This window comes from Homo sapiens, chromosome 3 (genome assembly GCF_000001405.40).
Source record: "Homo sapiens chromosome 3, GRCh38.p14 Primary Assembly".
NCBI classification, from domain to species: Eukaryota; Metazoa; Chordata; class Mammalia; order Primates; family Hominidae; genus Homo; species Homo sapiens.
Window position 1 is genome coordinate 149,776,014 of NC_000003.12, and position 13,078 is coordinate 149,789,091.

General features: G+C 40.1%; 1 protein-coding gene and 1 pseudogene across 6 annotated transcripts in view; both read right to left on the reverse strand.

The window, feature by feature from the left end:
* The window catches only part of ANKUB1 (ankyrin repeat and ubiquitin domain containing 1), a 31,455-nt gene that overhangs the window by 14,914 nt on the left and 3,463 nt on the right, over nucleotides 1–13,078 (reverse strand). For 4 of the 6 annotated variants that reach the window (XM_011512798.2, XM_011512799.2, NM_001144960.3 and 1 more), the window contains exon 3: nucleotides 4,226–4,442. The exons of 1 other annotated variant lie outside the window; for it this stretch is intronic. In XM_011512798.2, coding sequence (XP_011511100.1) covers nucleotides 4,226–4,442 — 217 coding nt within the window. The remainder of the gene's footprint in view (nucleotides 1–4,225; nucleotides 4,443–13,078) is intronic. One more of the 6 variants, NM_001315505.2, reaches the window with a different exon arrangement.
* On the reverse strand, nucleotides 2,996–3,095 carry RNU6-507P (RNA, U6 small nuclear 507, pseudogene; annotated as a pseudogene).

Sequence of the window (13,078 nt, forward strand, 5' to 3'; positions counted from 1 at the left end):
TGATAAGTTAGTCATTAGATATTCTACCACCAGAATTCCCTTATCCCTTCATTACTCATCTTCTTCTTAATCCCTAAAATCTTTCTTTCTCCATCTCCTTTATTAAAGCTGCTCTCTCTAAGCCCACCAAAGACCTTTAAAGCAAATCCAAAGCTTTTTTATCTCAGAATTGTCTTTGGACTTTTACCAGCATCTTGAAAACAGTCTCATCATCTGTTACAATACAAAGTTCCAGTTCTCCTCCTGACTCTGACAGCTTTCCATGTCTCATTTTTTGACTCTTCCGTGTGCTTGCCTTGACCTCAGCATGTCCTGAGTGCCAGCCATTGGCCCTTAAGACATTCCTCTCTATATTTACTCTCTGAGGAATGTACCCCTCATAGGGCTTGGTCTCCACCTACATGGGCAGGATCAGTATCTGCTAACCCAAACCATCACTCAAGCACTAGCACCATGTTTGCAGTAAAGGGAAATTAGAAGACTTCAGTTGTACTTACAGCTTTGCCACTAACTGACCAGCTGAGTAACTTTTTTAAAAAAAAGTACTCTCTGAGTTTCCTCATATCTAAAGCTTAAAACCCAGAAAATAGCTCCTTTCCTCAATTTCCCCACCACTGTCCTAGTGTGAGAGCTTTGATTCTTTCCTCTACTTAAATGTGATCTAGGGCCAGGTGCAGTAGCTCACTCCTGTAATCCCAGCACTTTGGGAGGCCAAGGTGGGTGGATCACTTGAGGTCAGGAGTTTGAGACCAGCCTGGCCAACATGGTGAAACCCTGTCTCTATAAAAAATACACACACACACACACACACAAATTAGCCAGGCATGGTGGGATGCACCTGTAGTCCCAGCTACTCAGGAGGCTGAGGTGAGAGAATCACTCAAATCCAGGAGGCAGCGGTTGCAGTAAGCTGAGGTTGTGCCACTGCATTCCAGCCTGGGTGATGGAGTGAGACCCTGTCTCAAAAAAAAAAAAGTGATCTAGCATGATGTTCTGTCCTGTTCTGCCTTCTGTGTTTCACAGATTTGTCTCTTCCACTGCTAATGGACCTAATTAATACTGGGATTATCAAACATGCCAGTTAGTGTATCACCCTGCCTGCAGGCTTTCCTCACTCCTTTCTATATTTCATATTGCTTGCTACCAGATTAAACCTCTCCTAAAACACTCCTGTTCTAGGCCGGGTGTGGTGGCTCACGCCTGTAATCCCAGCACTTTGGGAGGCCAAGGCGGGCAGATCAGAAGATCAGGAGATGGAGACCATCCTGGCCAACAGGGTGAAACCCCGTCTCTACTAAAATACAAAACATTAGCTGGGAGTGGTGGCGCGTGCCTGTAGTCCCAGCTACTCAGGAGGCTGAGGCAGGGGAATCGCTTGAACCTGGGAGGCGGAGGTCGCAGTAAGCTGAGGTCGTGCCACTGCACTCTAACCTGGCAACAGGCAAGACTGTGACTCAAAAACAAACAACAACAACAACAACAACAACAAAAAAACACTCCTGTTCCAGAAGGTGCATGGCTCTAGCTGCAGCCACAGCAAGGCTGAGCTCTGTTCCCTCACCTTAAGACCCTCCTCCTTCTGCCCTTGGCTGTGTTTCCCAGTGCTCTCAGCAAGGTTCCTCCGCTCTGCAGAACAGTCTCCTGCTTTCTGTCCCTCCCTGGAATGTCTTCCCTTCCTCCTCTCAGATGATCCATGGTTCCCACATCTGTGTGTGCTCCAGCCCCACTTTCTCCAGAATGCCTTCCCTACATGCCTTCAGCCTGCATTGAGCTGATTTACTGGATTTTAACTGAGTGTGTATACATGTCTCATTTCTATCACTTTACTGTAAACACCCAGAGTGCAGAGGCAGCTTTGCAAATGTTTGTATGAGCTAGTATGTACAGTGATTAATTGAGCTACTTAAATCTTTGATTTTCAACCTGGACATGACTGCTTCTCCAAACTCTTCTGATTTTCCACTGCCTGTGGAAAAGGGGCCAAGGTTCAACTCCTGATAGCAGCAGGGATGATTCATTGGCTAGAAAGAGAGGTCCTGTAAGAGAAGCTGATCAAGGACTCTTTTTACCTTCTAGTTTTAAAAAAGGTGAGCTGGCTGCTTGAGGAATACTAGTTATGCTTTAGGTAAAGGTATGAAGCATATGAAGCAGGCCAAATGGCCCTTCCTCCCTTCCCTTTGAGGTTCTTCTTTCCTTGCCTCTCCTCTGATGCTCTGTGTCCTCATGGTGGCCAAAACAGCCTACTCAGGTCATGCTTAGACCCTTAACCTTATATCTGAACACCCTCATTTCCTAAAGTTCCTACTCCCAGAGGGTCATTTTAAGGAGTAGGTATGTTGTCCTTGACACATGCTGAGCAAGTCATTTAATCATTAAGATGATTTGCTTTTTTTCAAGTCTGTAAAAGTTGGGGTTGGGTCAATTCAAATTATCTTCCAGCTTAAAACGTCACATTATAATCTGAACAGTATAAGCCTGAAGAATAGTCAACCAGAGTTTTTCCTAGTTTTGTTTCATCCTTTGGTACTTCATTAAATAACTAAATTATCAGTTAGTTGGGGACAAATGCCACTGTGTGCCCTTCCTTATGTGAGCCCCCATCATGTTCTAGGCAGGGTTCAGCCTCCAGCAAGCGTGCAGAGCAGGTATGTGCACTATAGCAAAGTACTCTGAGGAGAAATTGTAGAACTTCACTTCCCCTGATCAAAAACAAGGAAAAAAATTATGTCAAAGTTTTGAGAGCCTTAATTTAAAATAATAGGAAAGAATAATGCTAAGCAAATACTACAGTCAGGAGAAGTATCAATAAATGCAAATTTAGCAGTTATATAAAGCAAAACTACTTAACTAAGGATACCTACAAAGCCCTATGTATATGTTGGGAGAACTCAAATTTCATTGCAATGTTACAACACAATGTTACCTAAGGTTGTGCTGATTGTCAGCAAGGATTCATTTACTTCAAGTAATTTCTATAAGGTTCTAACCATTTTTAAAAAGTGTGAAATGTTTCATGAACTTGTGTGTCATCGTCAGGTAGGGGCCATGTTAATCATCTCTGTATCGTCAAATCATTTTTTAGTATGCTTAAAACAAATCTGACAGCCTTTTTTGTTTGTCTTATTGATGTTTGGCTACTGCAGACGTGACCTGGAAGTACAGATTTTTTTTTTTTTTTTTCGAGACAGGGTCTTGCTGTCACCCAGGCTGGAGTGCAGTGGTGTGATCATAGCTCACTGTAGCCTTAACCTCTTGGCCCAAGTGATCCTCCTACCTCAGCCTCCCAAGCAGCTGGGCACCACCACATCCTGCTATTGTTTTTGTTTTTTGTTTTTTGTACAGATGAGCATCTCACTATGTTGCCTAGGCTGGTCTTGAACTACTGAGCTCAAGTGATCCCCCCTCTCTTGGCCTCCAAAAGTGCTAGCATTAGAGGTATGAATCACTAGTCACTATGCCCAGCCAAGGTATAGTATTTAGAGAGAGGTTGTAATTTCTATAACAGATAAACACTATTCCACTAATGCAGATTTTCAGCCAGTATAGCATTGGCGTCACATTGTTAAAAAGATTATTTTAATATAATCAGCAACATTTTAAGATGAAATTGCCCAAAGCAGGGTTCAGAATAGCATGTATCATATGCTACCTTGCATTAAAAACGGGAAAAAGAATATGTACTTGAACTTGCATTTATACATGCTTGAAGTACATTTTGAAAGAGAAGAGATGAAGTGGCCTGAGTTTTGCTCTTCCACCCTGAGGATATTAATGAATCTGCTTTGAGAACAAGACTTGACAGGGCTATGAGACCCTCCTTATTTCTTAGTCTGTAGACCCAGACCCAAGAATGAAATGTTGATAATTCATATCCATACTGAACTTACAGAGGTTTCCATTTAGAAATAATGCCTCCATTTGTTCAGATTTAATTTGGAAATGGTTTTGATTGTAAATCTTCAAAACAATAATGGTTGCCTGTGAGGAGGGAACTAAGTGCTTGTAAGGCCAGGAGAGGGAGGGCAACTTACCACTACACATCCTTTTCACTTCTGATATTTAAACTATGTAAATGTGTTAACTGTTTTAAAGTGAATATGTAAATAAAGTTAACAGATTGTATATGAAAATCTAGATTTCTATTTTCTCTTGAAAAGCTGCAAAATCTGGTATCAAAGGACCCTAGTGCCAAATGGTAGCTGATATCAAATATACTGGGCAGTACCAATATCAGTCTGGTAGTCCTTGAGGGTGTTGCAATCATACATCTCCAGGCCCCTTGGGGTTCGGAGACAGTAGACACTCACGGGGAGGCCACATCTCAGAGTTACCAGTGTTCTCAGATCAGACACTGTTTTATCAAGAAGGGAAATGCTCTCCATTACTGGCATTGTGTCTTGAGTTACAGCATTGAACACGTATAGAGTAGGCTTGTCTTCTTCCTAAAGGGAAAGAAAAGGAGGGAACTTATTGTCTGGAGGTTCAGATGAGGGCCAAGCATTTCAGAGGGTAGCTTTGAGCACCTCTAGCTCCACGACATGGGTGTTAATGTGAAAGCAATAGTCAGTTGAGTTCTCTGCCTTCTGGTCTGAGTCTAGCTCTTATGTCCTGAGATATTAACAGGTCCCCCTGTTTGAGTGAAGTGAAAAAGACTTGGCAAGGCTTTGAGACCCTTTGACTTCTTAGTCTACAGACCCAGATACATAAGAGTGTTGATAATTTATATCCATCCTGTGCTTATGGAGGTGTTAGTTTAGAAAACATTCCTCTGTTGTGCAGTACTTTAATTTGGAATACTGTGGATTTGAAATCTTCAGTCAATTATTATTATTTTTTTTCTGAGAGGTTATTCCTGGCAAGTGGAACTGAGTTGAGAGTGGGAGGGAGTGTTTGCTTATCATTTTGTGCTTTTCATTGTCCGTATGGTTTGACTTTTTTAAAAGCCAAATATATTTACTTTTATTATTTATCTTTCTTGTCTGTCTTCCTTTTTTTTTTTTTTTTGTCTCACTATGATGCCCAGGCTGGTCTCAAACTCCTGGGCTCAAGCGATCTTCCTACCTTGGCCTCCCATAGTGTTGGGATTACAGGCGCGAGCCACTGCACCTGGCCTACTTTTACTGTTTAAAAAGGGAAATACCAAACATAGGTTTAGAAAAGTTTCTTTTGTTTCTTTCATTTTGTAATCTAAGTAGGAAAGCAAGTAGAATTGAGATATCCAAAGCAGAGTTAAGATGGAAAGTTTGAGGAAAATATTAATACTTCTGTTAACAACAGTTTAAACAAGCCAAACCAAAACTCAAAATACAGCGAATAGGAAAAATGGGAAGCAAGTGGGGAGGAAAAGATTATTATCATTTCCACTTTTCTCATGAAAAATGAAACTGACTTTACTTCCTCTTTAGCAGATTCAGGACAATAATATTTTTCTGCAACGGCCTGTTGTTGGGTTGGCAGATGTCAGTGCATGGCACCATCACGGAATGCCCATGAATGCGGGACTCTCTCAGAACCTGGTATCTGGCCTTCAGGTTCTTCAGGGGGCTCCAACCTGTCAATGCTGTCTTGCCCCTCCTTTGTTTCCTTCCTCTATTTCTTCCATCAGAATCCCTCTCTGGTTCCTCCAGGGCCCCCCCAGTCCTGCAGACTTATAATAAATTAAATGCTCCTCTCCCACATAACACATTGCAGTAATATGGTCAACATGCAGACCTTTTTCAAAAAGCCTTTGAGGAGTGATGTTACTGATGAAATTTAAGGCTGCAGTACTTTGATCTAGGGCCCATTTCAGTGACTGAAGTGATTAGGAACAGTTTCAGTCCCTCTGTGGCTGTGCATGAAGCCAGATCAGCAAGCTGAGCTGCCCACTGAGCCTAAAGTGCTTAGAACAATTTTTCATGATAGTTTCTCATAAACACATGCAATACAAATTTAAAGGACATAGGATTGACTCTTTCACTTTTGCCACGCCGTGCTTTCCTATGGTTCCATAAGGGAAGTATCTGTTCAAGCTAATGTAGATAATATTTACGGGCAGGCAGAAATTCCTATGAAAACTGAATAAAAAGATAGTGGGAAAGAGAGAAAAATTATATTTTATGTAATAGCTCTTTTTTATTTCTTTAAAAATTCCTAATTTATATTTAGAATTAAATGCAAATAACAAATTAAATGCAAACAAATGACAAAATAAATCCAAATAGAATAACATGCAAACAAAATAACAGAGTCCCAAGTCACTCTTTAAAAAAAAAATTTTTTTTTAGAGTCTAGGGCTCACTATGTTGCCCAGGCTGGTCTTGAACTTCTGGGCTCAAGCAGTCTCCCACCTCCTGAGTAGCTGGGGAAAGAATTCTCCTCCATTCCCAGCTCTCAAGTCACTCTTAAGTTAACTAGGTGTGTGAGGTTAGATAAGTTAAAAAGAAGCTTCTCAGAATATGAATAATCGTATACTTATATCTATAAAGATAAGCATGTATAACTTAGTATACATATAACTGACTCTGGAACAAGTAATAAGGGAGAACTGCAAAATATCTGGCAATTTTTTTGAGATAGGGTCTCACTCTGTTGCCCAGGCTGAAGTACAGTGGCACTATCAGAGCTCACAGTAACCTCAAACTCCTAGACTCAAGCAATCCTCCCACCTCAGCCTCCCAAGTACAGGCACTCACCACCAAACCCAGCTACATTTTAAATTCTTATTTGTAGAGACAGGGCCTAGCTATGTTGTCCAGGCTGGTCTGGACCCCCTGGCCTCAAGCAATCCATCCACCTCAGCCTCCCAAAGTATTGGGATTACAGGAGTGAGCTTCTGTGCCCAGCTGATCTGACAATCTTTAGATGAAAATAAAAAGTGCAAGGAAGAAAATATTACTAATTATTAATGAAGCCAGGTTCTTAAGTCTCAAGAAAATTAACACCTACTGAGTCTGTTCATTTTTTTTTTAAGCGCTCAGGAACTTTTTATCACATAAATAAATAATAAATGTTGAATGACATCCCAGGCCTTTTTAATCAATAATGTATCTGGATAATAGTTCTCATTGCACTTTTTAACTCTACATACTCACCTTTGTATAAACCTTGTTTTTATGGGAAAACCCATTTTGAGTTCTAGTGAGGCACATTAGTTGTCGATATTTTCTAATTTGGTTGTATGACGAGGGAGTAGGTAGATGCCAATTAATAGCAACTTGCTAATCCACCTTATCCACATAAGAGAAGGCATCTCTACCTCTCTGTCTATATGATACTCCTCCCCAAGTATTCTGAATCACAGAAGGCTGGTCAGTCACAACCAACGAAGTCAGACGCTATTAAATAATAATACCACACACAAATCATTGTTGGACATGTACAAAATTAGACTTTTTCCTTTATAAACAAACTGAGATGCAAACAAACCAACCCAAGAGATATACACAAAGTATCTTACTTTTCAATAAAAACAAATACGTTCTATCTCATGAGAATAATTCCATGCTTACCTTCAAAAAACAAATGCAAACTTACTGTAAATTCATACATGTACTTTAACAATAAGAAAGGAAAAGCTAAACAGAACTGACTGAAAGAAAACAAGTTAATGAAAGTTTTGAATGTACTGCTGTATTTTTTCTCAAGTTCTGCTTTTTTATATTTTGCTGTTTTGGAGTTACAGCACTAAGTAAGCAGAAGCTTGCTGAACTATTCCAGAGTGAACAAAAGGGGAAGTAATATTTGTTTTTGTTGAACCAAATGAATTCCAGTGAGATGTCTCCATAAACTTCTCCTCTTGTGTGGTAGTCATTCTGGAGAGATTATCCATGGAGTCTTGGACACTGAATTGGAACACCTTTCTTCACCAGATTCTTTTCATACCTTTTGTTATGACTCATCTTAGAAAAGAGGGCCATTTTTAAGAAACATGCTTTCATGTGTAAATTTTAAAGAAACATGTTTATACATGTTTTTGTGTATAAAAATGCATAAATGTAAAACCACATATATTGGATTTTGGTGTTTATACATTAACAGTACCTCTCGAAAGCTAAAATGTTTATCATTTTGAATCAAATTTAGACTTGTCAAGATAGTACAAACTTCTCTAACTTATCTGATAAACATCTACTCAATGGTACTACAGTTAACTCAATCTCTCAGCATAAAACAACTTTTCACAACATTCCAGGGATGTCAGGAGGGATTAACTATGTTTTGACCCCAGCACTTGGTTGGTACAAGTCTGGTTATAGAAGGAGGCAGGGAAACCAGAAGGAGTCCTAGGGAGGCTGAGCCCATTTCACGCTCTGAAAAGCACAACCTGCTGGATAGTTGCCCCCTTTGCAGTAGAGCATGGACATGTGACAGGGTGCTCCCAATCAGACCTACCTATCCACCCCAACTTTGAATTACGAGCCAATAAGGCAGAGAAGCAACAGACACAGGAAAGTCTCTAGGCAATGGCATTTCTGAAGTTGCCGGCCTGGCAGCAGGGCTGGCAGCATGTCCAGTGCCTGTTTTGAGGGCTCAGTGTTGCCTGTAGTGGTGACCTTCCCAGATTAGTTCTGGGGCGTGCTTTAGATGTTGTTTCTGGCTGCATAATCTCTAAGACTGATTCTCCAATCTTCCGAAAACTACTCAATAGCTTTTCAATACTTATTTTCTGCTTAAATTATCTAGACTTTGTTTCTGCTGCTTCCAACTAAGAACCATGATGTTGGTCAGGGGAAAAGCCAAGAATACTGGGGAGTGCTTTGCCCTAAGAGTAGAGAAAAATGGGATATGCCACAGTAAGGGAGAGAATGGATCCCTGAAATGCATCTCAGTACCTTGCTATGAATTGCAGACAATCATATACCATCTTGTTAATTTCCATACTTTACCTCTCAAACCTTTATCAATTCATTTATTTAATACCTATTTATGTACAGCCTACTATATATCTTATCTAGTACTATTCTAAGCACTGGGTGAAAACAGTGGACAAAACTTAAGCAATCGTTTCCATGATAACACAGGTTAAAATGAAGGGGGCAAAAGTGATAGTGCCTCTGCATGTTGTACAAAAACATACACTTTTGCAGTGCCTCATGCTATGGTTTATAGGAACACAGTGAACCGCAACACCATCAGCAATAAATCGTCAGGACTGGCTCCTGTATTAATAGAAATTGGAGGTATATACCATAGAAAATATTGATTATGGCTTCCGTAAGAGTTCTTTTCCAAAGAAGGAAAAGTTAATACAATGTTCTTTATTATTATTATTATTATTTATTACATTTTAAGTTCTAGGGTACATGTGCACAACGTGCAGGTTTGTTACATATGTATACATGTGCCATGTTGGTGTGCTGCACCCATTAACTCGTCATTTACATTAGGTATATCTCCTAATGCTGTCCTTCCCCCTTCCCCCAACCCCACGACAGGCCGCAGTGTGTGATGTTCCCCACCCTGTGTCCAAGTGTTCTCATTGTTCAGTTCCTACCTATGAGTGAGAACATGTGGTGTTTGGTTTTCTATCCTTGCCATAGTTTGCTGAGAATGATGGTTTCCAGCTTCATCCATGTCCCTACAAAGGACATGAACTCATCCTTTTTTATGGCAGCATAGTATTCCATGGTGTATATGTGCCACATTTTCTTAATCCAGTCTATCACTGATGGACATTTGGGTTGGTTCCAAGTCTTTACTGTTGTGAATAGTGCTGCAATAAACATACATGTGCATGTGTCTTTATAGCAGCATGATTGATAATCCTTTGTATATATACCCAGTAAAGAGATGGCTGGGTCAAATGGTATTTCCAGTTCTAGATCCTTGAGGAATCTCCATACTGTCTTCCACAATGATTGAACTAGTTTACAGTCCCACCAACAGTGTAAAAGTGTTCTTATTTCTCCACATCCTCTCCAGCACCTGTTGTTTCCTGACTTTTTAATGATCACCGTTCTAACTGGTGTGAGATGGTATCTCATTGTGGTTTTGATTTGCATTTCTCTGATGGCCAGTGATGATGAGCTTTTATTTATTTATTTATTTATTTATTTTTTGAGACAGAGTCTCGCTTTTTCGCCCAGGCCAGAGTGCAGTGGTGCTATCTCGGCTCACTGCAAGCTCCACCTCCTGAGTTCACACCATTCTCCTGCCTCAGCCTCCCCGGTAGCTGGGACTACAGGCACCCGCCAACGCGCCCGGCTAATTTTTTGTACTTTTAGTAGAAACGGGGTTTCACTGTGTTAGCCAGGATGGTCTCGAGCTCCTGACCTCATGATCTACCCACCTCGACCTCCCAAAGTGCTGGGATTACAGGCGTGAGCCACCGCTCCCAGCCTGATGAGCATTTTTTCATGTGTCTTTTGGCTGCATAAATGTCTTCTTTTGAGAAGCATCTGTTCATGTCCTTTGCCCACTTTTTGATGGGGTTGTTTGATTTTTTCTTGCAAATTTGTTTAAGTTCTTTGTAGATTCTGGATATTAGCCATTTGTCAGATGGGTAGATTGTAAAAATTTTCTCCAATTCTGTAGGTTGCCTCTTCACTCTGATGGTAGTTTCTTTTGCTGTGCAGAAACTCTTTGGTTTAATTAGATCCCATTTATCAATTTTGGCTTTTGTTGCCATTGCTTTTGGTGTTTTAGTCATGAAGTCCTTGCCCATGCCTATGTCCCGAATGGTATTGCCTAGGTTTTCTTCTAGTGTTTTTATGGTTTTAGGTCTAACATTTAAGTCTTTAATCCATCTTGAATTAATTTTTGTATAAGGTGTAAGGAAGTTTCAACTTTCTACTTTGGCTAGCCAGTTTTCCCAGCACCATTTATTAAATAGGGAATGCTTTCCCCATTTCTTGTTTTTGTCAGGTTTGTCAAAGATCAGATGGTTGTCAATGTGTGATATTATTTCTGAGGGCTCTGTCTTGTTCCATTGGTCTATATATCTGTTTTTGTACCAGTACCATGCTGTTTTGGTTACTTTAGCCTTATAGTATAGTTTGAAGTCAGGTAGCATGATGCCTCCAGCTTTGTTCTTTTGGCTTAGGATCATCTTGGCAATGCGGGCTCTTTTTTGGTTCCATATGAACTTTAAACTAGTTTTTTCCAATTCTGTGAAGAAAGTCACTGGTAGCTTGATTGGGATGGCATTGAATCTATAAATTACCTTGGGCTGTATGGCCATTTTCACAATATTGATTCTTCCTATCCATGAGCATGGAATGTTCTTCCATTTGTTTGTGTCCTCTTTTATTTCGTTGAGCAGTGGTTTGTAGTTCTCCTTGAAGAGGTCCTTCACATCCCTTGTAAGTTGGATTCCTAGGTATTTTATTCTCTTTGTAGCAATTGTGAATGGGAATTCACTCATGATTTGGCTCTCTGTCTGTTATAGGTGTATAGGAATACTCGTGATTTTTGCACATTGATTTTGTATCCTGAGACTTTGCTGAAGTTGCTTATTAGCTTAAGGAGATTTTGGGCTGAGACAATGGGGTTTTCTAAATATACAATCATGTCATCTGCAAACAGGGACAATTTGACTTCCTCTTTTCCTAATTGAATACCCTTTATTTCTTTCTCTTGCCTGATTGCCCTGGCCAGAACTTCCAACACTATGTTGAATAGGAGTGGTGAGAATACAATGTTCTTTTCCCACTATTCTTGTATTACCCTTATTTCCATTTCTTTTCCAAATGTGTCTATATTACCATTAAAAGAAAAGCGTAATATACAGGGAAGCTGGAAAAAGCATTGTCTAAAGAATGTATTTAACAGTAGATAATCTCTGTATTTATCCAGTGTCTTTCTCTGTTTTTCACACAAGCAGAACCTTGTAAGCACACAAAAATATGAGCACAATAAAGAAGCCAACTATTTTGGATTTATTTCATGAGACATAATATCTACTTGTATCTTTTTAGAAAGAAAAACCACTTACTTGCCAAGTTTTTGAACTTTACAAAAGTTTTGGGTTCACATTATGATATTTCTAAGTTGTACCAAAATTTAGATATGCTAAAGAGACACACTTCAGGGATTCATTCCCTCCCTTACTGTGGCATCTTCCATCTCTCTCAAGGCAAACTAACTTTCACAAAGTAACATGATTAAACATAGTTAAGTAGGGAAGGTACTACTTAAATGTGTATATATTTAATTATTCAGTAAAGCAACTAACATGACTTGGAAATCAGCCTTGGTAACCTGAGATAGATCAAGCATGATAGAGCTGATATGACTGCATTCTTTGAGGCCTGGGATATTCTCTAAATGTGATTCTACCTGACAGCATGAAGAGTACCGTTAGTAAAATTTTAGGGAACTTGAGAGTTTTTAATTAAACTCTGTGTGTTGTCCAGTCCTGTGACTTCTGCCCTGGCTCTCTTGAATAAACTCCTCTTTTTTTTTTTTGAGACAGGGTCTCACTCTCTTGCACAGGCTGGGTTCAATTGATCCTCCCGCCTCAGCCTCACAAGTAGCTGGGATTATAGATGTGCACCACCACACCCGGAAAATTTTTAAAATATTTTTGTAGAGATGGGGTCTCACCATCTTGCTCAGGTTGGTTTCACTGAATAACCTCTTTTACCCCTACTTTTTATTTATAGAATTAGCAGTTTAAAACTTCAGGTAAAAGAGTTCAGCGTGAAGCTTGCATCACTGTGATATATGATGCTTTATTGGCAGAATTTAGGAAATGTTTTTGTAAGTAAAACTGTGAACATAGGTTGCATCTGGGGAGGGAAACTGGGGGCCAGAGAAGGGAGAGTTTTTTCTTTTTCTTTTCTTTTCTTTTTCTTTTTTTGAGACAGAGTCTCACTCTATCACCTAGGCTGGAGTACAGTGGGGTGATCTCGGCTCACTGTAACCTCCACCTCCAGGGTTCAAGTGATTCTTTTCCTCAGCCTCCTGAGTAGATGGGATTACAGGTGTGCCCACCACACCCAGCTAATTTTTGTATTTTTATTGGAGATGGGGCTTCACCATGTTGGCCAGACTGGTCTTGAACTCCCAACCTCAGGTGATCCTCCCACCTCAGCCTCCTAAAGTGCTGGGTTACAGGTGTGAGCCACCACACCTGGCCAGGATACTTTTTACTGTG